The sequence below is a fragment of the Homo sapiens genome, chromosome 5 (genome assembly GCF_000001405.40).
Source record: "Homo sapiens chromosome 5, GRCh38.p14 Primary Assembly".
Lineage (NCBI taxonomy): Eukaryota > Metazoa > Chordata > Mammalia > Primates > Hominidae > Homo > Homo sapiens.
This window is the reverse complement of record NC_000005.10, coordinates 101,781,113-101,807,941: the sequence shown is the minus strand read 5'-3', so window position 1 is coordinate 101,807,941 and position 26,829 is coordinate 101,781,113. Positions and strand designations below refer to the sequence as shown.

At 37.8% G+C, this 26,829-nt stretch overlaps 1 long non-coding RNA gene across 2 annotated transcripts in view, besides 1 other annotated feature; it reads left to right on the top strand.

The window, feature by feature from the left end:
• Positions 1-26,829, top strand: part of LOC105379102 (uncharacterized) — a 328,753-nt gene that overhangs the window by 46,394 nt on the left and 255,530 nt on the right. The gene's annotated exons all lie outside the window — the stretch shown is intronic.
• Positions 24,584-25,336: an enhancer, noted in NCBI's record as "NANOG-H3K4me1 hESC enhancer chr5:101118310-101119062 (GRCh37/hg19 assembly coordinates)". NCBI's record gives its function as "activates a minimal SCP1, AML or CMV promoter by ChIP-STARR-seq in primed H9 embryonic stem cells {active_cell/tissue: H9 hESC(primed)}" and the evidence as "EXISTENCE:reporter gene assay evidence [ECO:0000049][PMID:30033119]".

The window sequence follows — 26,829 nt, the reverse complement described above, 5'->3', positions numbered from 1 at the left end:
AGAAACCCTACAAGCCAGAAGAGAGTGGGGGCCAATATTCAACATTCTTATTGTTAAATAAGATGTCTGGTACGTGGCTGTTATGTCACAGGATCCTTGCGGTGTTGCTTTTCTGGCTGGAAACCTCTGTGGCCAGTGACACCTTTGCCCAAGTTTTCTTGGGCCCACTGGCCTTGTTACATCTGGCCTGGCAGGCAGTGCTTAGCTCAAACTACCAGCCTGGATTTCATGTCTGCCAAGGATGAGCCTAGCACTGACCAGTGAGGGATGTGTGAGCAAGCGAGCATGCGGTCCAGCCACTGTGCAGAGCCAGGCATGCTGGCTTCTGCTGGGTAGGCAGCTACAGGTGCTGGCATAGGTACTGGCTCCTTGCAAAGCTGTGACCAGGTGTACCACAAGCAGCTTCCATGGCTGGCACTGAGGAATGTGGTGGCACCTGGAAGCTTGGAGATGCCAGGAACGGCATAGAGGGTGTCACAGCCCTGGCTCAGGGAGTTCCTAAGTCTGAGTTCCCCAGCAGGTCACAGATCTTCTCTCCTTCTCTTTTGTCTACTTCTAATCACCTGCACTGTGACAAGCAAGGGGTCTGTTTCAGCCCTGTTCATGTTACAGCTCTTTCAGCCTCACCATTCAGTTGTTCCTGAGTTCTTGCCCCACATCCAGGAAGAATAAGGCACATGGACATGTGGAAAGTAAGCAAGGTGAAGAGGTACTTTATTGAGCAATAGAACAGCTCAGAGGAGACTGACAGTTAGTAGCTCCTCTCTGCAGACAGGGCATCCCAGTGAGTGTTCAGCTCTTAGCAGAGAGGAGACCCACAGTGGGTAGCTCCTCTCTGCAGGCAGGTTGTCGCAGGGAGTCTGGCTGAGTCCAGGGTTATTATGGGCTTCAGAGGAGAGGAAGTGCCTGCTAACTGGACCATGGACAGACATGGGCAGGCCCAGAAAAAGCACCATCAATTCTCACTCTGATCCATGGAACTGGAAGCCTGCCCTCAGGCTTCAGGCCATCTCAGACCTGAAAGTGGGGCTTCCCCCACTTTCAGCCTGCACAAACAGCAGGCTGTTTGTGTTGAGGGGCACCTGCAGGCTGGTGCCAAGCCACCCTCAGCACCCCCTTGGCCTTCCTCCCATGGTCATTGGTGCTCAAAGTCCCAAGGAGGCTGAGGTGGCAGGGGACTGGTGTGTCAGCACTGCCCTGAGGACGTGCACACCCAGCCAGTTGCAACAGTGCTAGGGCTCACCCTCAACTTTGCTCTGAAATCTCAGTGGGCACCAGGAGTGGGGACAGGCTGGGCAGAGGGAATAGGCATTTCCAAGCCTGCAGGGGCAGGGGCAACTTCTGGGAGTCCAAGAGCACAGGAATGCCCAAGTCCACAGCCGTGGCTGGGTAGCTGCAGCTGTATCCAAACCTGGGAGAATGGGGCTCCCAACCCTCCAACTCAGAAGAGGTGAGCTTCTGCCAGTTCCTGGCTCCCTCTGGTTCTGTGAATCACACAGCCCAGGTATGCCTTCCCTGCTGCAGCTGGCATCTTAGCAGTGGTTACTCCGGATGGGCCATGGCTGCCATCATTACATCACTGTTAAGGTTCAGGTGAAATAATAACCCTGGTGAGGGGATGGATATTAACCTTAGGAAAGTAATACACCTCTTCAGATGCTAGATAATATTTATTATCAGTAACTGTGTTTGTTTCATTCTTAGCCTGAACTATTGAAATGTTACAGGATATATTTTATTTGGTTACTTGCCTAGAAAAATTCAAATACATCTTTGTCTAAGGAAACAGCCCATTCAGAGTTTCCAAAATGTGCCTTCAAAAACCTGAAACCAAATATGTTGATATTCAGCCAAAAAACATAAGACATGGGGAGTTTCATGACAAATTCTTTTCTGCTTTTCTTAGGCAGAATGTATTAAATACATTAAAATGTATCATTGCATTTGAATCATAGATTTGTATAATGGGAGAGCTCTTTAAAGATATTCTGGTTCAACCAACCAGGAAGTTGCTCCAGGAAGCCAGGAATGGTGGATGACTCCCTGCACTGAAAAAATCGGGCTGGGTTTATGAATGATGCTAGGGACACTGCACTGTAGTTTTATTCCAAGCAAGGGAGAAAAACTGGCCCATCCTGCGTATCCTTAACAGGCTCAGGGGTGTTAAAATTACACCTTTGGCCGGGCACAGTGGCTCACGCCTGTAATCCCAGCACTTTGGGAGGCCAAGGTGGGTGGATCACAAGGTCAGGAGATCGAGACCATCCTGGCTAACATGGTGAAACCCCATCTCTACTAAAAATACAAAAAAAAAAAAAAAAAAAAATTAGCCAGGCATGGTGGCGGGTGCCTGTAGTCCCAGCTACTGGGGAGGCTGAGGCAGGAGAATGGCGTGAACCCAGGAGGCGGAGCTTGCAGTGAGCCAAGATCTCATGCCACTGCACTCCAGCCTGGGCAACTAAGCAAGACTCCGTCTCAAAAAAAAAAAAAAAATTACACCTTTATATATCACAACGATGACATAAAATGGCTTTTAGGCCCACAATCTTATTAGTGAAGAAAATAAGTGGTACAAACTACTGCTTTGGAATGTTATATATGAATGAGTTGTGGTGTCAGCATCATTTCAACAATCCTCTTCAGTTAATATTTTTACTTTTTAAATTTGTGCTTATTTTTGGATATTCTTTAAGTGCCTCTAGACCTGTGCTATCCATTAGAGTAGCCACCCAGAACTTCTGGCTATTGAGCATTTTAAATATGACTATGGCTACTAGTAATCTGAATATTTAATTTCCTTTAATATAAATTTAAATTTAAAGACATATTTATTCCAATTATGACAAAACTTTTAAGTAACTTTGAAACAGTTGGATATAGGGCTCTACTTTTTAAAGTAAATTTATATTTATATTTAATTTGAGGTTAAGTATTTCTGATGAAAATGTAGCACCTGAATTCAAATATACATTATATTTCAAGTATTTCATATGAAAAAATTATGAAATTATCTCATTACTCTATCTAATAATATTTATTACATTTTGAAATAACATTTAGGATATATTTATTTAAATAAAATATACTATAGTGATAGTATTTATAGCATCTGTTTCTTTGTACTTTTTGAATATGACTAATTGTAAATTTAAAATTACATATGTAGCCCACAATATATTTCTATCAAAGAGCCTTGCCCCAGATCATGGTTCATAAATCTGACCCTAACCCCCGTAACACCTATGGTATAACCACCTATCCCCAATTCCATACTGATGACAGAGTTTTTCCTTAGTAACTTGAAGGTATAAAGAGATAAATAATATTGTGTGTCCCTAAATGCTGATTCTGTTTATATGAAATTTTGGAATCGAGAGTGTTCCAGAGTTAGTGAAAAAGTTCAAGATACTTTACCAAGTTACATTTCAGTATCAGATATAACATTTATATTTTATATAACAAAAATTAAATATAGCAATATTTTAGTACAAATGTGTATCTTGCAATATAATATGTCTCATGCAATATTTCAATTCATTTAGAACATACTTGTACTAAAAAAATTTGTTGTTTATCTGAAATTTGAATGTAACTGGGAGCCCTGTATTTTATGTGACATCTCTAGAAATTGGGTATGATTCAGAGTAGGGAAAAAATATCATTTTCAATAAGTGATAGAAAATTAAAAATCAGTATGGGAAAAAAAGAACCTTGATAAATGTTGCAAACTATACTATAAAAAATGGTTCTAAAATGTGCAGATCTCAATGTGGGAAGTAAAATAGGAAAATATTTAGTTGATAAAATAGTTGATTATCTTCATGACTTTATGGTAGGGAAAGTCTTGTTAACTTTGTTAATAAAGCATTAACCCAAAAGGAAAAGATTGATCAGCTAGATTTCAATAACGAACTTCTATTTATTTTTTAAAAGGGATTTTAACTTTTTATTTTTATTTTTTATCTTTTTCAACTTCTTTAAGCTCAGGGGTACATGTGCAGTCTGTTGCACAGGTAAACTTGTGTCATGGTTGTTTGTTGTACAGATTATTTTATCACTCAGATACTTAAACTAGTACCCATTAGTTACTTTTCCTGATCCTCTCCCTCCTACTACCATCCATCCTCTGATAGACCCCAGTGTGTGTTGTTGCCTTCTATGTGTCCATGTGTTTTAATCATTTAGGGCCCACTTATAAGTAAGAACATGCAGTATTTGGTTTTCTGTCCCTGTGTTAGTTTTCTAAGGATAATGGTCTCCAGCTCCATGCACGTCCCTGAAAAGGACATGATCTCATTCTTTCTTATGGCTGTGTAGTATTCCATGGTGTTTTGTACCACCTTTTTGTTATGAAGTCTATCATGGATGGGCATTTATGTTGATTCCCTGTCTTTGCTATTGTGAATAGTGCTATAATGAACATATGCATGCATGTCTCTTTGTAATAGAATGATTTACACTCTTTTGGTATATACCCAGTAATGGGATTGCTGAGTTGAATGACATTTCTGTCTTTAGGTCTTTGAGGAATTGCCACACTGTCTTTCACAATGGTTGAACTAATATACACTCCCATCAACAGTGTGTAAGTGTCCCATTTTCTTCACAGCCTCACCAGCATCTGTTATTCTTTGACTTTTTAATGATAACTATTCTGACTGGAGTGAGATGGTATCTCATTGTGATTTTTATTTACATTTCTCTAATGATCAGTGAGGTTGAACTTTTTTTCATGTGATTTTTGGCCACATGTATGTCTTTTGAAAAGCCGGGTTGTGGTGGTTCATGCCTGTAATCCCAGCACTTTGGGAGGCCTAGGCAGGCGGATCACGGGGTCAAGAGATCAAGACCATCTCCTTGCCAACATGGCGAAACCCTGTTTCTACTAAAACTACAAAAATTAGCTGGGTTTGATGGTGCTCGCCTGTAGTCCCAGCCACTCAGGAGGCTGAGGCAGGAGAATCACTTGGACCAGGGAGGCGGAGGTTGCAGTGAGCCAAGATCACGCCACTGAACTCCAGCCTGGGTGACAGAGCAAAACTCCATCTCAAAAAAAAAAAAAAAAAAAAAAAAAAAAATTAGCACTTTCTAGCTGTCAGAAGGCAGCAACTTAATATAATTACAACATTTTAGTCTGAGACAGTAGCGGAGAGTATTGAGGTTTCTCCCTTGGATGTTTGAGACAGGGAGGCAATCCAACTCTAAGTCCCTTTAGATTCACAATCAAAATTGAACTGTGTAGTTCCTATACTCAGCTCCTTCAAGGTGTTTAATAATAAATGACAAATTTTTGATGACATGAACTGTATATATACGTTGAGTAATAAGAGTAATCATTTATGTGGATATACAGATGACATACTTTTTTATATGTTTATTTTCAAATAACTGAAAGTTATTTGAAACTCAATTAGCAGGAAGGAAGCAGCTGTCCATTATTTTAATGTATTCCCAGTTCTATATAAAGTTCATTTTTACCTTTACAATTTCAGTTCATGGATTTTTTTTTAAGAAAATACACATTGTTTTTCAAAATCTGGCAATGAAAAACAATATTGTAAGACTCTGGCATTTTCTTTGTTAAGTTTTATTTTTAATTGGAAAATAATAATTACATGGATTTATGGGATACAACATGATGTTTCAATATATGTATATATTGTGAAGTAATCAAATTCATGTTGAGAAAAGTAACATTGAAGCATTCAGTTTCTATTCAGAGACATAAGTATAGGCCTGTTTGAGGAAGGCCATTTTACTAATATATTCAAACTCTTATCACTTTGCTATTTCAATTTAGGTAAATAGATAAATAAATAGATTTGTGGGGAATGCTGTAGTCAAAATATCACAAACTTGAAGTGCTCAGATATGATATTCAACAGGAGAGAGAAAAATGACTTGAAAACATTATAATTGAAAATTATATTGATAGTTAAAGCTGATAAAAAATTAGAAATAAAATTCAATTATTTTAGCACTGTCAGTACATCATACTTAATGTTGAGAAACCCAAAGCTTTTCCATTAAGAATAGGAACGAGACAAAGATGTCAACCACTCATCTTAAAAGCATACCCAAAGTCTTGTCTTAATGAAATAAGACAATAAAATAAAATAAAATGGTAGAAAGGAAGAAATAAAACTCTTTGTTCCTTGAAGACTTGATCATCTATGCAGAAAATCCAGAAAAATCAGCAGCAACAACAAAAACCTCACCTGGAACAAGTAGTTATAGTAAGGTTGAATGATACAACAGTAATACACAGAAGTCAGATGCTTTTGTATATACAAGTAATGAACAAATAGAATCTGAAAATAAAAAGTTAATATCATTTACACTAGCTTCCCCCAAAATAAAATGCTTAGGTAAAAATTTAACAAAATATGTATATATCATATGCGAGAAAAACTACAAAATTCAAATAAAAAAATCAAAGAATAACTAAATAAGAGATACTCCATGTTAATGGATAGAAAATTTAATATTGTGAAGTTTTCAATTCTTACCAACTGGATCTACAAATTCAACATAATCCCAATCAAAACCCTAGCAAGTTATTTTGTAGATTTCAACAACCTGATTGTAGAGTTTATATAGAGAGGTAAAAGACACAGTGTAGCCAACACAACATTGAAAGAGAAGAAAAAAGCTGAACGGCTGACACTACTTGACTTCAAGACTTACTATAAAGCTACAGTAATTGAGACAGTGTGACATCAGTTAACAAAACAAGACAAATAGATTAATGGAACAGGATAAAGAGCCCATAAATAAATCAACATAAATACAGTAAACCAATATTTGAAAAAGGAGCAAGTGCAATACAACAGATCCGAGTTGCTTTTGTTGTTGTTTTCAACGAATGGTGCTGGAAAAACTGGGCATCTGCATGCAAACATATTAATCTAGGTACAGACCATACACCTTCAAGAAAATGAATTCAAAATTGATCATAGAGCTCAAGGTAAAACAAAAAACTATACAACTCCCAGAAGATAATACAGGAGAAAAGCTAGATAGCTTTGGGTTTGACAATGACATTTAAATCATAACACCAAAGACATGATCTATGAAAAACAGAGCTGATAAGCTCTACTTCATTAAAATAAAAAAAAATTCTGCTCTAAGAAAGAGAATAAAAAGTCAAGACACAGACTTAAAGAAATTATTTTCAAAAGGCATATCAGATAAAGGACTCTTATCCCCAATACACAAAAGAGTCTTAAAATTCAGTAATAAGAAAAAAAAAATGAAAAATTTGCTAAAGACATTGACAGACACCTCACCAAAGAAAATATACAGAATAAGGATATGAAAAGATGCTCCTTATCCTAGTTCATCAAGGAAATGCAAATTAAATGGTATATCACTGCACACCTATTAGAATGGCCAAAATTCAGAACACTGACAGTATAAAATGTTGATGAGGATGTGCAGCACTGGAACTCTCATCTATTGCTGGTGGGAATACAAAATGATGCAGCCACTTTGGAAGACAGTTTGGTGGTTTCTTGCAAAACCAAACATACTCTTAGTATGCCGTATAGACAACACATTTCTTGATATTCACCCAAGATAATTGAAAAATTGAAGATGTATGTCCACAAAAAAACTTCAGCTTTATTAATAGTTGCCCCAAATTGGAAGCAGCTAAGATGCCCATCAGTAGGAGAATAGATTAATAAACTACGGTGCACCCAGACAATGTAATATTATTTTGTGCTAAAAAGAAAGAAGTAATTAAGTCATAAAAAGGCTAGGAGGAAGTTTAAATGCATATTATTAAATGAAAGAAGCCAATTTGAAAATATCATGTACTATATGATTCCAACTATATGACATTCTGGAAAAGGCAAAACTATGGAGACAGTAAAAAGATTCAGTGATTGTCAGGGGTTGGGAGAGAGACAGGTGAGTAGATGGAGCACAGAGGATTTTTAGGGCAATGTAACTGTTCTGTATAATAATATAATGCAACACACACATCATTGTACTTTTGTACAAACTCATAAAATGTACAACACCAAGAGTGAAACTTAATGTAAATTATGGACACTGAGTAATAAAGATGTGTCAATATAGGTTCATCAGTTGTAACAAATGCACCATTCTGGTGGGAGATGCTAATAATGAGGGACTATGCTTGTGTGGGAGACTGAGGTATATAGGAAATTGTTGTACCTTCTTAATTTCTCTCTGAACCTAAAACTGCTTTAAAAATAAAATCTGTTATAAAATTAAAATAGCATATCAAATTGCATTTTTGTTATTAATCATTATGAATAACAAATGTCCTTTGACAGTGGTTTGAGAAGACCAGGTATTTTGGACAAGCTGTTAGCTGACTTTTCCAAGGCAAAAACAAAACACAAATGGAAGAGTGTATTATATAGTTCCTTTCTCCATGTTACCCTCTTCTTAGAACCTACATAAATCTGAATGGGAACAATGCCAGACCTCAACAAAGACAATTGTCAATATGCATACTGGATATAAAAGTTTGTATTTATGGCACAGGGGGATAGATGGAAACGGTGATTGGGGTGCTCTGGATAGCCTAGCTTTGGGAATATGTATATTGACACAATAAGTATATATGTCGAGTAACTTTATTAATGGTTTCAGAGAATGACCAGATGAAGGCTACTGCAATCTTGGTCACCCTTCACAGTTAAGCATGGACATGGTTATACAGGAGAGTGGGTTTTTACATTACAGAAAAAAAAAATCTTGTGGTACAAGGGAGGGATTTTCTTCCTGGCCTTCTCCAATGACCAAGACTATAAAGCTCATTAATGTGTTTCATTCATTAGATTTTTTTTACCAAATTTGCAGCTGCTCCACAATTTATTAAAAGAATGTGCTTGACTAGCTCTACAAGGTATATGTTATTGTCTCAAAAGAACTGTATTACTAAAAATAAACAACTTATTATGAATCATATATGCAGGGCCATTTCTAAGTTTGACTTCTATTATAATTTTATATTTTGTTCAAAATATGTGTTGTTTGTGATGATTGCTTTGTCTGATTCAAAAGTAAATTTTAAAAGTAAAATGTTCAAATTAAATTTTTTGACATTTTAAAATGTATAAATTTGTATATTAGGTATGAATATACAGTTATGTGTTTAAATTGTATCTGTAAAAATAATACAATTTTGTGATTTTATATTTATCTAATTTCTAACTATCTGCATCACTTGAAAATAAAGTGCAAAGTATCTTTTGTGAACAGTTTGAATAAAGGGTTTTTTTCTAAGAGAGAACACACTATCAAAAAGTTCAATTTATAAACTGTTTAGAAAGATAAAAATGTATGGATATGCAGGGGAAAAAATGTATTGCAGCTGTGTAAAGTAGACTTTAGATATAGACAGACATGAACATGGGAAAAGGGTTATCCAAGACGCAGTAACTAGGAAAAAAAAGAACCAAACTGGGCTAAGAAGAATGTCAGAATTTGAGGGTAACAAAGCAGAGTAACAAAATACCCCATCAAAACTAGAGAATTCAGAGCAGTTATGAGACTGGGCTTGGAGAGAATCCTTGAGCTGCACATACAAATGCACATACATACAGTCTTAGGAGTAGGTGAATTGGAGCTCCTAATGGTGTCAAGGTTGTTCACACACACACGCACACACACACACACAGACAAAATAGCATAGAAGAATTTGGAGGGATTTCAGAGAAGAGAAGATAAATTGTGACTAGTTCAAGGAATTATTTCGTTTTATTTTTCAATTCATTATGCAATCATCCAACAGCTATTTTTAAGTAAACAAATTCAAACACCTTTCAATAAGCCAAATATATAAGATGAAGAATATATGCCACCATTTATGACCTACTTATTTAGTTGTAATTGATAAAGTAATTGTATATATTTATGGTGAACAACATGTTTTTTTTATTATGCTTTAAGTTCTGGGATACATGTGCAGAACGTGCAAGTTTGTTACATAGGTGTACACGTGCCATGGTGGTTTGCTGCACCCATCAACCTGTCACCTACCTTAGTTATTTCTCCTAATGTTATCCCTCCCCTAGCCCCCCACCCCACAATAGGCCCGGGTGTGTGATGTTCCCCTCCATGTGTCCATGTGTTCTCATTGTTCAGCTACCACTTATGAGTGAGAACATGCAGTGTTTGGTTTTCTGTCCTTGTGTTAGTTTGCTGAAAATGAGGGTTTCCAGTGTCTTCCGTGTCCCTGCAAAGGACATGAACTCATCATTTTTTATGGCTGCATAGTATTCCATGGTGTATATGTGCCACATTTTCTTTATCCAGTCTATCATTGATGGGCATTTGGGTTGGTTCCATGCCTTTGCTATTGTGAACAGTGCCTCAATAAACATATTTGTGCATGTGTCTTTATAGCAGCATGATTTATAATCCTTTGGGTATATACCCAGTAATGGGATTGCTGGGTCAAATGGTATTTCTAGTTGTAGATCCTTGAGGAATTGCCACACTGTATTCCACAATGGTGGAACTAATTTACACTCCCACTATGATGTTTTGAAATAAGTATACATTGTAAAATGACTAAATCAAGCTAATTAACATATTCATTTTCTCACATACTTATTTGTCTGTGGTGAGAACGCTAAAAATTTACTCTGTTAATGATTTCCAAGTATACAATAAATTGTTATTAATTACAGTCACGATTTTGTACAATAGAACTATGGGAGAGCGTACAATATTCAAAAATCAAGCAGTGATGTAAGTGTTAGGAATGGAGGGACACATAGTAAGGATATTCTATAAAGATATTTTAAATAACCAAAGAGAAAAAACAGAACAGACAAGATTATAAATATTTTCAAATGCTCAGATTCAGTTTTCTGAACAATTTGGTCAAGTATGGATCAATCGAATGTGAGTACTTCCAGAAATTTTGAAATAGAATACTTGACCTTTAGTTTTTTAATTATTTGCACCTAGGTCTGAAAGACTTAGTCAAAATGTTTTTTCTAATTACACAAAATCTTTAATTACAAAAATAAGCAGGGGCATAGCAAATTAATCTAATTCATCACAACTATTAGTTGGGAAGAATGAAACATAGCTGTCTCTTTTCTTGCACCCAGAATGACTAAAATGTAGTCCAATCTTCATATGATGGCTCTGGAATATAGCATTAGAACAAAAGCCTGCTGGAAGGAAAAAGTGTGGAAGATTATTTATAAGCCATAAATTCAGAGCCATTCTCTGCTCCAAATATGCATTGTTCATGATGATTGCTTTGTCCAATTCAAAATTTCAGATAGGGTTGCAAAACAGAAAGAGGAACCTAAATATATAAATAGTACAAATGGCTAGTTACATAATCATTTTTCATGATTATCTGGGTAACAGTATTTACCATGACTATGAATCATGAAACTGTTCTTGTAAACATTTCCAAATTAAAGTTATTGGAAAAAGAATTATTTTTGAAGATAATAAACTTCACAAATGTAGTTTGGGATTGCTAAAAATATTATAACTCCTTATATATTTAAAATGCAATTAAAGCACTATAATCTATATGAAAATATTATTTTTATTAAACTGTACTCTTACTTTAAGATAAAGTTATTGCATGTATAAAAATAAAATTTTAGAGTGATTTTACAATTAAATTATTACCTAATATATTTCCAAATCTTTTATTGTTGTTTTTATTTTATTTTTTATACCCCAACTGTATGTTTAATTAAATTCTTGTCAAGTAAAGCAGTATTTACATGAGTTTAATGGAGACTTATAATACCTGCTGACAAACCAGATATGTACTTGCATATTTCTAAAGTGGAAATCAGGCTAAGTAAAAATTATTTTACATTGCTTTGGCCTCATAAAATAAGTTAGGGAGGAGTCCCTGCTTTTCAATTGTTTGGAATAGTTTCAGTAGAAATGGTACCAGCTCTTCTTTGTACCTCTGGTAGAATTCAGCTGTAAATCCGTCTGGTACTCAGCTTTTTTTGCTTGGTAGGTGATATTGTTAGGCTTTGTGTCCCCACACAGATCTCATCTTGACTTGTAATCCCCATAATCCCCACAAGTCAAGGGAGAGACAAGGTGTAGTTAATTGAATCATGGGGCTGGTTTGCCCCATGCTATTCTCATAATAGTGAGTGAGTTCTTACAAGATCTGATAGATTCATAAGGGGCTCTTCCCCCTTTACTGGGCACTTCTTCTTCCTGCTGCCCTGCAAGAAGGTGCCTTGCTTTCCTTTCAACTTATTTCATGATTGTAAGTTTTCTGAGGCCTCCTCAGCCATGCTGAACTGTGAGTCAATTGAACCTCTTTTCCTTTCTAAGTTACCCAGTAATTATTACAAGTAGAAAACAAACATCATCCTGATACCAAAACCTGGCAGAGATACAACCAAAAAAAAAAACTTGAGGTCAATATCTCTGATGAACATCGATGCAAAAATCCTCAATAACATACTGGCAAACTGAATCCAGCAGCACATCAAAAAACTTATCTACCACGATCAAGTTGGCTCCATCCCTGGGAAGCAAGGTTGGTTGAACATACACAAATCAATAAATGTAATTCATCACATAAACAGAACTAAAGACAAAGACTACATGATTATCTCAAAGGACACAGAAAAGGCCTTCAATAAAATTCAATATCCTTTCATGTTTAAAACTCTCAATAAACTAGGTGTTGAAGAAAAATACCTCAAAATAATAAGAGCCGCCTATGACAAACCCACAGCCAATATCACACTGATGGGCAAAAGCTGGAATTTCAAGCATTCCCCTTGAAAACTGGCAAAAGAAAGGATGCCCTCTCTCACCACTGCTGTTCAACATAGTATTGCAAGTTCTGGACAGGGCAATTAGGCAAGAGAAATAAATAAAGGCTTTTCAAATCAAAAGAGAGAAAGTCAAATTATCTTTCTTTGCAAATGACATGATCCTATATCTAGAAAGGCCTGTCATCTCGGCCCAAAAGCTTCTTAAGCTGATAAGCAACTTTAGCAAAGTCTTTAGATACAAAGTCAACGTGCAAAAATCACTAGCATTCCTATACTCCGACAACAGATAAACAGATAACCAAATCATGAATGAACTCCAATTTACATTTTTTACAAAGAAAATAAAATACCTAGGAATACAGCTAACAAAAGAAGTGAATGACCTCTATGGGAGAGTTATAAACCACTGGTCAAGGAAATCAGAGAGGACACAAGCAAATGGAAAAACATTCCATGCTCATGGATAGGAAGAATCAATATTGTTAAAATGGCCATAGTGCCTAGAGTAATTTATAGATTCAATGCTATTCCCGTTAAACTATGATTTACATTCTTCACAAAATCAGAAAAAAATATTTTAAAATTCATGTGGAATCAAATAAGAGCCTGAATAGCCAAGACAGTCCTAAGCAAAAAGAGCAAAGCTGGAGGCATCACACTACCCAACTTCAAGCTATGCTACAAGGCTGTAGTAATCAAAACAGCATGGTACTGGTACAAAAACAGACACATAGACCAATGGAAGAGAATAGGGAACTCAGAAATAAGACCGCATATCTACAACCATCTGATCTTCAACATATCTGACAAAAACAAGTAATGGGGAAAGAATTCACTGTTTACTAAATGGTGCTGGGATAACTGGCTAGCCATATGCAGAAAACTGAAACTGGACCTTTTCCTTATACCTTACACAAAAATTAACTCAAGATGAATTAAAGACTTAACTGTAAAATGCAAAACTATAAAAACCCTAGAAGAATATCTAGGCAAAACAACTTAGGACATAGGCACGGGAAAAAATTTAGTGATGAAAACACCAAAAGCAATTGCAACAAAAGCAAAAATTGACTAGTGGGATCTAATTAAACTAAAGAGCTTCTGCACAGCAAAAGAAACTATCATCAGAGTGAACAGACAATCAACAGAATGAAAGACAATTTTTGCAATCTATCCATCTGACAAAGGTCTAATATCCAGAGTATACAAGGAACTTATAAAACATTTTCAGGAAAAGAAAACCCATTAAAAAGTTGGCAAAGAACATGAACAGGCACTTCTCAAAAGAAGACATTCATGTGGCCAAAAAACATGACAAAAAGCTAAGCATTAGAGAAATGCAAATCGAAGGCAAAGTGAGATACCATCTCCCACAAGTCAGAATGGCAATTATTTAAAAAGTCAAGAAACAACCGATCCTGGTGAGGTTACAGAGGAAATGAAATTCTTTTACACTGTTGTTGGGCGTGTAAATTTGTTCAACCATAGTGGAAGACAGCATGGCAATTCCTCAAAGATCTAGAAGCAGAAATACCATTTGTCCCAGCAATCCCATTACTCAGTATATACTCTAAGGAATATAAATAATTCTATTATAAAGATACATGCATGCATATATTCGTTGCAGCACTATTCACAATGGCAAAGACATGGAATCAACACAAATGCCCACCAATGATAGACTGCATACAGAAAATGTGGTACATATACAGCATGGAATACTACGCAACCATAAAAAGGAATGAGATTGTGTCCTTTGCAGGGGCATAGATGGAGCTGAAAGCCATTATCCTCAGCAAACTAACGCGGGAACAGAAAACCAAACACCACAGATTCTCACTTGTAAGTGGGAGTTGAATGATGAGAACACATGGACACATAAAGGGGAACAACACACACTGGGGCTTGTTGGGTGAGTGCGATGGGAGGGAGAGCATCAGGAAAAATAGTTAATGCATGCTGGGCTTAATAACTAGGTGGTGGGTTGATCTGTGCAGCAAACCAACATGGCACACATTTACCTATGTAACAAACCTGCACATCCTGCACTTGTAACCTAGAACTTTAAAGTTGAAGAAAATAAATTGTTTGGTATACGTGCTATGGTTTGAATGTCCCTGCCAAAACTCATGTTGAAATTTAATTGCCACTGTAGCAATATTAAGAGGTGAGGCCTTTAAGAGGTGCTTAGGCAATAAAGTTGCACCATTGTGAATGGATTAATGCTATTATTGTGTGGGTGGATTAGTTGTTCTGGGAGTTTGGCCCCGTCTTTTCTCTGTCTTATGTGTGCACTTCTACCTTCTTCTCTTTCACCATGGGATTACCCTTGCCAGCTGCTGGCTCCTAACCTCCAGAACTGTGAGAAATATTTTTTAATAAATTATCCAGTTTGTGTTATTCTGTTATAGCAGCAAAAGACAGACTAAAACAGTACATTGGTACCAAGGAGTGGGGCTGTTGCTATAACAAATAACTAAAATATGAAAGTGGCTTTGGAACTGAATAATGGGTCGAGGCTAGAAGAATTTGGAGGGGCAGCATGGAAAATGCTTTGTTGTCATCAATAGACATTTAATGGTGATTCTGTTGACGGCTCAGATGACCAGAGCTGTAGGGAAAGTCTGAATCTTCTTAGAGATTACCTAAGTGGCCATGACCAGTATGTTAGTAAAAATATGGACAGTGGAAGGCCATTATGATAAGGTCTAAGATGGAAATGAGAAACAAGGTATAAAAACCTGGAGTTAAGGTCAATATTATTATAAAGTAGCAAAGAGCCTGGCAAAATTATGGTATCTCCTAGGGCTTTTTGGAATGCATAACTTAAGAGTGATGAACAAAGAACTGCCTAAGAAATATTTAAGCAGCAAAGCACTCAGTCTGCTTTTTAGCTAGTTTTAAGTGTGTACAGTGAGACACGAGGGCAGAAAAAATGACTTAAAGATGGAATCTATAATTAAAAGGAAAGCAGAGTAGAAAGGCTTGGAAAATTTGCAGCCTGGCCATGCAAAGAGTGCAAAAAATATGTTCAGCAGACCATATTAAGAGTGTTTGTAAGGGACCACTGGCTAATGAGATTACTATGGATAAAAGAATCCAGGTCAAGATAATGAGAGAAAGAAAGACCCCAAAGGTATTTTAGAGATCTTCAGGCTTCCCCTTTCATCACAGGCCCAGTGCTCTAGAAGGGTGAGTGGTTTGAAAGGATGGTCCTGGGGCACCCTCCATGCCCTTGCTAGTCAAAAGCATCTTGGGTCTCTGCTCCTGGAATTCCCACACAGTGATCCCTGGATGCCTCAGCTGTGGGTCAAGAGGCCCAGGTGTGGCTAGACCCACTCTTCTGCAAAGTACAGACCATATATACCTTGGTAGCATCAATCTGATATTTAGTCGGCAGGTATGCATTATGCAAGAGCTGTGGAGGCTGTGACTTCCTTCAGTTATATTTCAAAAGATGCCACAGACCACCTGGAAGCCCAGGCAGAAACCTGCTGCAATGAAACTGGGGCAATGTCTACTGGAGCTGTGGGAGTGGGGAAGCACCTGAGATCCCAGAATTGTAGGGTGGCACCAGCATCCAATTCCAACCTGAGAGAGCTGAAGCATAGACTGAGCCCAGCAAAGCCAAGGGAGGCCTAGGGACTCAAACCCAGTGTATGCAGAAAGTGGCACATGGAATCAAGAGATTATTCTTCAGCTTTGATATTTAATGTTGTTTTCTCTGCTTGGTTTTGGACTTACCTAATACCAGTTCTATGTCTTTTCTTGCTTATGTCTTCCTTTTGGAATGGGTTTATCTATTCTACCCCTGTCCCATCATTGCATTTTGGAAGTAGATACCTGTTTTGAATTTACAGCTGGAGGGAATTTGCCTCAAAAGGAATTGTGCCTTGAGTCTCACCTATATCTTATTTAGATGAGACTCTGAACTTTGGACTTTTGAGTTGATGCTGGAACAAGTTAGGACTTTTGGAACTATTGGGAGTGAATGAATATATTTTGTATGTGAGAATGACATGTTTTGGGGGCCAGGGGTAGAATCCTGTGCTTTGAATATCCTCATTCAAAACTCATGTTGAAATTTGATTGTCATTGTAACTGTATTAAAAGGTGAGGCCCTAGCGGGGCATGGTGGTGCATGCCTGTAATCCCAGCATTTGGGGAGGCCAAGGCAGGAGGATCACTTGAGCTCAAGAGTTCAAGACTGGCCTGGGCAACAGAGTGAGGCCCCATCTCTACAAAAATAAATTAACTGGGCATGATGGTGCACACCTGTGGTCCCAGCTAGTTGGCAGGCTGAGGTGAGAGGATCACTTGAACCCAGGAGTTTGAGGCTGCAGTGAGCCATGATCATTCCATTGCACTCCAGCCTAAGTTTCCAAAGGGGTGGGAGGGGAGGGGAGATCTGAGGCCTTTTAGAAGTGATTAGGTCATGAGGGCTCTGCCCTCATAAATACATTAATGCTGTAATCGTGGGACTGGCTTAGTTATCATGAGTTTGCCTCCTTTTTCCTCTTTCTCTCATGTACTCACTTCTACCTTCCATCATTCCACCATGGGATGACCCTCACCATATGCTGGCATCTGTGCTTTTGGGCTTCCCAGCCTCCAGAATAATGAAAAATAAATTTCTTTTTTTTTTAATAAGTTACCCAGTCTGTGGTGCTCTGTTATGACAGGAAAAAAAAAAAAAGGACTAGGACAAAATGCTGTAAGATTCTTTTGAAATTATTATTGGGCACATTTTATTATCACTGTTTTCTCCATAAATTCTATTACAAATTTTCTAAACGAAATGAAACCAAACCAAAACAAAAAGCTTATTTTGCCCATCAAAAGGTTTTCCTAATATATATTGAACTTAGAAATAAATTATCCCATTCTACTAGACAGAATTATCTTGACAGTGTTTTTAAGTAATTATGACACTGCTTTATACTTTCTAGACTTCTGAAGCATTTTCTAGTTTATATGGCAGCAATACTTTATTTCATTTGAGGAACCCAGTTGACATCCTTCTTCCTTTTCCTTAAAACTGACTGCATGAGTTGTAACTTAAAATTATCACTTTTCTTCCTCAAATTATATTTTTTTTCCTCCTTTAAATTCTGGACAAGGCTTCTTTCTCCCCCTTCTGGCTCTAGTTTGTTCTGATTTAGTTACTCTAGTAACCTTCCTGTTCTTCATTCATTCTACCTGTCTCCAATGCTCAGAGTTTACATAGGGGTATGTGTAAGAAATAAGCAAGAGTTATCTCACATTTCAAAACACCGTCATGCCTTCCCAACAGTCCTCCAAAGTTTTAACTCATTCCAGCATTAACTCAAAGTCCCAGTCTAAAGTCTCATCTGAGTCAATACAAGTCCCTTCCCCCTAACAAACCTGTAAAATCAAAAACAAGTCAGTTACTATCAAGATACAATGGGGGTACAAGCATTTGGTAAATGCTTCCATTCCAAGGGGAGAAATTGGCCAAAATAAAAGTGCTACAGGCCCCATGCAAGTCCAAAATCCAGCAGGGCAGTCTTTAAATCTTAAACCTCTGAAATAATCTCCTTTGACACCCTGTCTTACATCCAGCACACGCTGATCCAATGAGTGAGCTCCCAAGGCCATGAGCAGCTCTGCCCCAGGGGCTTTGTGAGGTACACCCCCCATGGCTGCTTTCATGGGTTGACATTGAGTTTTTGAGGCTTTTCCAGGCTCACGGTGCAAACTGTCAATGGATCTACCATTCTGGGGTCTAGAGGACGGTGGCCCTCTTCTTGCAGCTCCACTAGGCAGTGCTCTGGTGGGGACTCATGTAGGAGATCCAACCCTACATTTCCCCCTGCATGGCTCTAGTAAAGATTCTCCATGAAGGTTGCACCCCTACAGCAGACTTCTGCCTGGAGGCGTTTCCATACATCCACTGAAATCTAAGTGAAAGCTCCCAAGCCTCAACTCTTGTTTCTTCATACCTGCAAACCCAATACCATGTGGAAGCGACCAAAGCTTGGAACTTGCCTCCTCTGAAGCCACAGCCTGAACTACACCTTGGCTCCTTTTAGCCATGGCTGGAGCTGAAGCTGCTAGGACGCAGGGTACCAGGTCCTGAGGCTGCACAGAGCAGCGGGGTCCTGGACCTGGCCCAGGAAACCACTTTTCCCTATTAGGCCTCTGGGCCTGTGATTAAAGTGGCTGCCATGAAGGTCTCTAAAATGCCTTTGAAACATTTTCCCCATTGTCTTGGCTATTAACATTTGGCTTCTCTTTACTTATGCAAATTTCTTCAGCCTTAAATTCCTCCCCAGAAAATGGGTTTTTCTTTTCTGCCAAATGGTCAAGCTGCAAATTTTTCAAACTTTTTTGCTCTGCTTCCCGTTTAAATATAAGTTCCAATTTCAGATCATCTCTTTGTGAATGCATATGAGTTGTTAAAAGCAGCCAGGCCACATCTTGTACACTTTGCTGCTTAAAAATTTCTTCCACCAGATCCTCTAAATTATCACTGTCAAATTCAAAGTTCCACAGATTTCTAGGGCAGGGGCAAAATGCCGCCAGTCTCTCTGCTAAAGCAAGCAAAAGTGGCATCTACTTTAGTTTCCAATAAGTTCCTCATCTCCATCTGAGATTACCTCAGCATGGACTTCACTGTGTGAGAAAACATTTTAAATTGTCCATTTTCAAAGCATGATAAATCCAAGTAATGGCAGCCAGCCTGCAGATGTGACAAACCGCACAGCTCATGCACCTAAGCAAACCAAGTGTAGAGGAGGGGTCAGCCTATAAAAGGGAAGACAGTTTCATTATTGGGAAATCGAAAACTAAGCAGTGAAGTGGACTGGGATATAACCTTATAAGGGGGATAATGAAACTTAGGTGACATCCAGGTACTCGACTAATGAGGAACTGGGGGAGGGACTTGCATGTTAGGAGATAAATTACCTGCTGTAACTGCCGAGGGTGTGCCTGCCTACCAGACACCCAATCTTGCGAGACCACAATTAAAAGTCTTGCTTCTATTGTTCTTTGTGTCTCTGGGCCCATTCTTTGGGTTTGCATGGGTGAGTGTGTTTCTCACAACTGTCCATGTTACTTTGTCACAACCATTTGACAAGTCTCTAGGAAGTTCAGAACTTTCCCTCTTCTTCTTATCTTCTTCTGAGCCCTCCAAACAGTTCCAACCTATGCCCATTACCCAGTTCCAAAGCTGCTTCCACATTTTCAGGTGTCTTTATAGGAATGCCCCTCTTCTCTTGTACCAATTTTCTGTATTTGCCCATTCTCACAATGTTATAAAGAACTACCTGAGACTGGGTAATTTACAAAGAAAAGAATTTTAATTGACTCATAGATCCATAGGCATACAGGAAACATGGCCTGCAGGCCTCAGAAAACTTACAATCATGGCAGATGGTGAAGGGAAAAAAAGCATGTCTTACCATGGCAGAGTAGGAGGAGAGCAAAGGGTGAAGTGTTAAACACTTTTAAACAACCAGATCTTGTGAGAACTCACTCACTATCATGAGAACAGCAATCATCTCCCACTTGAACTCTCCTCCAATATTAGGGATTACAATTTGACACGAGGTTTGGGTAGGGAAACAGAGCTAAACCATATCAGCATTGCAGTGGAGACCTAGGGCTGTAAGTATGGTGAATCTGTTTACTTACGTTATTTACATATATATTACAATATATATGTTATATACTATGTTATATATAATATAAACCTCATAAGCATACATATTATATATATCTCATGAATAAATGATGTATTATATATCAAATATGATACATAAAACATTTATATTTTATAAGCAAATGGATATATATGAGATATATAATTTCATATATATCATGTGTATGTATATATGTGTGTGTGCATATATTTGTGTGTGTGTGTGTCTCCTAAGTAAGCAAAGTCACCCTACTTCCAACGCTATGCCTTACTGCAATAACTTTTTTATCTACCTAGGCATGTATACAAAATGTGAGTAGTTATACTTTAAGTTTCACTGAAGGTAACGACCAGATACATTTTAAAATTTTCTGAGAGAATTTTAAAATGCATTTTCTTGACTCTTCTAATTATAGGTAACAATTGTAACTAACATGCAATTTGGGTAAGCTGTATTATTATAAAAGCACAATTTGCTCTAAGTTATCCATATGTATTCATGAAAAGCTTTGAAAGGAATGTGAAAAAAGATTGTGACAATGCCAATTACAGATCAATTATTTATACTACTTTGGGCAGAAGCAGGTCAGATATGAATTATACTCATTATTTTTCCAGATTACCATAGGCCCCCATCAGTAAATATTCATTAGATCATTCTTAACGTGTGAATTCCCCTAAACCCTGCATTCACATTTTCAAGTCAAAAATGCTTCATTTAGTTATTTCTCTCAACTATTTATCGTTAAGTAAATGGAGTTTATGAAAAGTTCTACCTAGAAAACTGGAAAATGGAAGCATGCTTATCCAAGCCTTTCTGAGATGAGGTCCACGAGAGAATTAAACCCTAAAGCTCTAAGACATCTACTGTATGTGGTGAATTAACTTCTCTCCCATGTATACAGAATGGTACTAGTTATAACACATCTTTTAAGTAATTGAGAATATCATCACATACATTATTTTCTTATATTATGAATCAGATGAGATTCCTGCTTGAGAAAGTTTTACATTCAAATGCAGAGAGAGACCTGGTAGCTAAATTATGTGAATAAAGAAAAACATATATAGGAAAAATAACTCAGAAAGTAAGATGTTAAATAGAAAATTTTCTAGATTTAGTAGTAAGAATGGAATAGTGGCCAAATTTAGGAAGACTCCTGTTTAAAAGAGACAGCTTCTACTCAACTACCGTTGTTATTATGTGGGACAGTTAGTCCAATGTTAGTAGGTTTGCTTTTCTTTTTGAAGAGAACCTTGAAATCTTAGTTTTTTTCATAAAAAATTTCTTGGTTTTGAAATCTTGGCAAATCATTTCAAAATTTTGAAGTATTATCCTGGGAAACACACTTCTGTAAGTTATAACCATCCCCAGGCTGCCCATTAGTGAAGACCTCGGTATTACAAAAGCTATCTGAATAGGAAGCTCTCAAGAAACATTTAATATCTACCTCCCAAAGTTTCATTTGCATAGCTCTAGCTGAAAAAAATATTTTAAAATTCATTTTATAGAGAGTACTTAATCTGTGTAGTCTTGAATCTAGTAGCATGTTAAGTAGCGCCAAACTGTATTCAACTTGGCCTGTTTGTTATACCTTACTTTTTTTTTTAATTGGCAAATTGGTGGGGTGTGTATTTAATCTACCTATTATATTAACCATGTAGGAAACACTTTTCTAGTCACTAAATTATCCTAATACGGGATGCGGAATTCCTGTATTTTCAATCCAACACACCATATTCTATAAAATCTTCAGAAGGAACAGCATTAAAATCGCAAAGTTTCATTTTTTTCTCTTCATGGTTTTCAATTTTTATATGACTTTCATGTAAGTTCTTGTTTGGATTTTTTTTTCTTAGTGAGGAGTTCATATTTTGTTTTTGTTTTTATTTCTATCTAAAGTTCATTATCTAACCAACATTTCCATTGAGAATTCCTGCTACAGTTCCATCTACAAACATTTCTACAGTAAAACATTGTCATTTGAATGTTTAATCTTATCTTTTGAGAGTCTCCCTCCCACTTAGTGCTCTAACTTTACTGAACAGCCTGATATTCCCTGAAGCACCATTCTTTTTATGCCTCTGACTGTACGTACTCTGCTCTGTTTAGGATGTTCTGTCTTGTCTGCTTGTTTAACTCCATAGTCATCCTTGAAAACAGCCTTGAGGTTTCCTCCTCCAAGAAGCTGTCCTCGTTTCTTCTAACACTCTTGCCATTCTAGGAGCTTACCCAGATACATACTTCCAAGCTGCTGCTAGTGAGCTGCACAATGTTGCAATTTATTTCTTTTAATGTGTGATTTCCTTCTGAGATAATGACCTCCTTGTCTGATCAGGGGCTACAATATATTCATGTCTGTGTTCTCACACTCTCATACACAGCCTGCCCCATGGAAGTTGATCAAATAAGGCTGGATCAATTTAATGAAATATTGAATATTTCTCCATAGGCGCCCACTATTGGTGTTTTATTTTAATCTTAATTATACTTATTTACCAGTTTAAAATTAAAAAAAAAATGTAGAGGATTTGAAATCCTAACCAACATCACCACAACAGATGCCAACTTCTTTTTGTTTAATTTTCAATTTTTGCTGATTGAGAAATAGTCAAGAGAAACAAAAGTGTATTAGTGACAGCGGATTTGCCAAGGTATCCATAATGGAGAAATGCTTTCTGTGATACACCGAAATGTCAAAGAAAGTTCATAATTAGTGGATCCTTAGAGAGATTTGTATCCAAACACACAGCTGACTCTTCAGCAAGTTCTAGATTCAGAGGTTCTTATTTTCTAAATCTTCAGGGGGCATGATAGCCTCTCTTAGGGAGGAAGATTACTAGTTGCGCCTAGTATTTTTTGACCTAGAGGCCCTGTAAACCCAAAGGGTAGGGCTGCCTGATAGCTGCAGCCGCTGCCTAGCCAAAGACAACAAGGGAATCCAGGGGGGAGTTTCTGTGGAGACAGGAGGATCCTGAGATGATGGAGACTTTTCCCCATTCCCAGGACCACCAAGGCACAGGTAAAAGATGGCACCGGACCAAGGGAGAGATAGAACAGCAAGTTTCCCTCAGGAAGGGTTATAACAGCTTCCAGTATCAGCTATTACAAAGACAAATAACAGACTAAACCGATTGTGGAGACCTTTGAATGTCTTTCTGCCACTCCCTTTCTTTGAGTAGGGAATGTAAGCAGGTGCTCTGAGTTTAAAAGGGAGGTCCTTAGTGGCTACTTTTATTCATAATTGTTTCTCCTCCGGGAAACTTGCGTGAGAACAGTTTCCTTCACTTCCCCAGGAGGAGAATTCACGAAGGCCAGGAAAGAATGATATAGATACAAAGTTCCTAATGGCACTTCTGTCAACACTTGTTTCCGGAACCATCATGAGCTAGGGTTGTCGTCCACAACCCATGCTGAGTGGGCGAACGGCTAACAGGTTCACGTGTGTATTTGTACTTTCCAGATTGAGCTGTGCACGGAACAATAAACGTCCTCTTCCTTACCCCTCCCTGCCCTGTTTCACTCCACCTCAGAGGCATGAGAGTGCGTGTGAGCGTGTGTGCTGAGCCAAGACACTTGGAAGACAGTACCCTTCTTGCAGCCCCACTCCCAGCTCTCCAAAGCATTCCTTGGGCCGGACGCGTCTGTAATCTGTCCCCAGCGGAGGTGCCCACTCCATGCGAATGCAGACAGTCTCAGGGCTGACACCATGGACTGAGGCTTTGGTACTCCACGAAGGAGATTTAACTCTCTCTTGGAGCCCCAGGTGCCTGCGAGTGTGAGTGTGCGTGTCTGCGACTGTTTCTTTTTCTCCCAGCACTGGGTAGGCAGCGCCTGCAACAGGATACGTCCGCAGCCTCCACCCTTTCAGTCCAGCGAGTGGCTGTTTTTGTTTTGTTTTGTTTTGTTTCTTCCCTCATTTCTCTGTGAGGAAGGGGGAAGGACCAGTGACATCCCTGAGCCCAACTGCAGAGGCCGTTGTCATCTCCAGTGCACAAGGGGGGTCCTCTAAAAAGAAACCTGAGCCCCAGGGAGGTGGCGCAGAGTGACCCTGGCAGGGGCAGGGCAGGCACCAATCGCGAGGGAGGGACATCTCCAGGGACTCGGAAGAGCTCAGCCATCACGGATCCTCCAAACTTGTTCTGGGAGTGCCTGCTCCACGCAATTCACGCGTTTTACTGACTTCTCCCCTTCGCTCTATCTTCCTTGAACAGAACTTTTCTGTCAAGAGAAGGTGCTGAAGTTGGTGCTTACAGGACGTTCCCAGGCACCCAATATGCGCTCCATCAGAAAGAGGTGGATGATGTGCTCAAGTCTGCTCCTGATCTTAAGACAAAATAAATAGCAAGAACAGAGGGACAGAGGGGAATGCAACTCATGGGGTAATTTAAGATATGACAAAAAGTTAAGCAATAAATGAAATGAGAGACTATAGACGGTAGCGTGAAAATTGAGACAGTGTGTGTGATCCTGTGAGCTTTTGTGTGTTCAGATTCATGAATTAAACAACAAAGGCTGTTGTGCTGTGTGGGCTTCTTTAAGCTGTTCCCAGTACAAGCTCAACTTTCTCAAGTGCAGCGGTGTTGACAGTTGTCCTGGCGCCGATGACTCCTATGACAAAAGAAGAGTCACTGCAGAAGTGTCAACAAAAACGTGTACCTTTGTTCCTTTAATCGGTGGGCAGACCCTAAGCGAGATGTCAGTATTCATCATCCTGTTGACCTTCCTATTTTCTCTGCCCCAACGCTCTAAAAAGATGCTAGAGAATGCTGGTTTCCCAAAAGGCTTAAGTTAAAGCTCTGAAAGCAGAGATGCCTTCCTCCTGTTTCTTACCTTTTTCTTGGCTACAGTAGATTTATGTATTGAATCAGAAACGACAGTACTATTAAGGAAACCACATTATTTGCCTTGTCTTGGAATAAAGATTTTTATAGACTTGAGTGTACATGTAGAAACTGGTTATTTCATACATCAACTTATCTAATAAACTTTCCCTTGTGTTTACCCAGGTAGAGTTTTTAGTTTAATAAACATCACCTTAGTGATTTTGAAATTTACCAGGAAGTGGCTATAATTTTGTTGTGTGGACATAGCTTGGAACTATTTCTAAGGATATGAACCTGGTTATAAACTCATTTAATAGTCCATTTCTAGAAATTCTAACTCTCTTTATATGAGAAAGTTGACATGCCAAAAAGTAAAGGTGTAGGTGCTTGTCCTAATGTAAATAAATTCCCCTTATCCTTCATACTTTCTTTGTTCTTTTCATCTGCTATCCTTAAAAATATGTACAATAAATAGAATTTTAATTTATTTTAGCTATTAATAAAAGTAAATGATGTCTTATGCTTCTTAAAATTCATTTTGTTTTCATGGAGATGACATTTTTGTGTGTTCCATTTCACAGATGAACTCTGAATTGATCTTTCGTTAATACTTCTTCAATCTTTTTGTGCTCTGGAAAGTTGCACAATGAACTTTGCATCATGTTATGGAATGCCTTTGCTTGAGCAACATATTGAACACTGATTTATACTTTAAATATGGATATTTTAATAAGAGAGCACAAGCTCAATTTAACAATGGTCAGTGAATGACGTGAATTCATAAACATGATTGGCATGTTAAGGGATCCGCTTGTGAGTTTCAAATACATAGTCTTCACGCAGATACATTAAGATGCTTAATAAAGTAATTATACTTAGCATCTTATTATTTCTGTACTTAATGGTCTTCCAGGGAGGATCTAAATTTATATGTTCCTATTTAAAAAAAAAAAGAGATGTCTTCTGATGGGAACATGTTCCCATAATAAACTAGATGGAAAACTGAATTGAAATAAATTTTAAGAAGATATGTTTTCCGATGGGAAATGTTCTTATAATAAGCTAGATAAAACATTGAATTAAAATTGAAATAAAACAATCAGGAGATACTTTAAATATTTATTAGTTTATCTTTAAAGATTAAATGATGCTTATGTTTATGTCCTACATCAATGAAATATTTAACAATGACTGTTGACTGTGTATAGGCCTCTTTGGACAAAATCCCTACTAAAGGGAGTAATTGGAAAATAAAACAGTGAATTATATTAGGTACTAGAAGAAATAAAAATGCAATGGGGTTAAAAGGAAGGACAGTTTACTATTTCATTATGCCAGAAGAATTTGCCTCATCTAATAGAGAAAATGAAACATAAATTACTCTCTATGAATAAACAGAATTTTGACACATAAAAATTGGAGAAAAGGGGAAAAGGCATAGAGGACATGCTAAGACATTGTTCAGAAACTAGTTTGAATAGAACTTTATGTGTCAGAAAATAGAAGAAAAAGTGTCAAAAAGTGTTGAAAGTAAGTAGAAGAAATAAGTTGTACAAACCTGGCTTT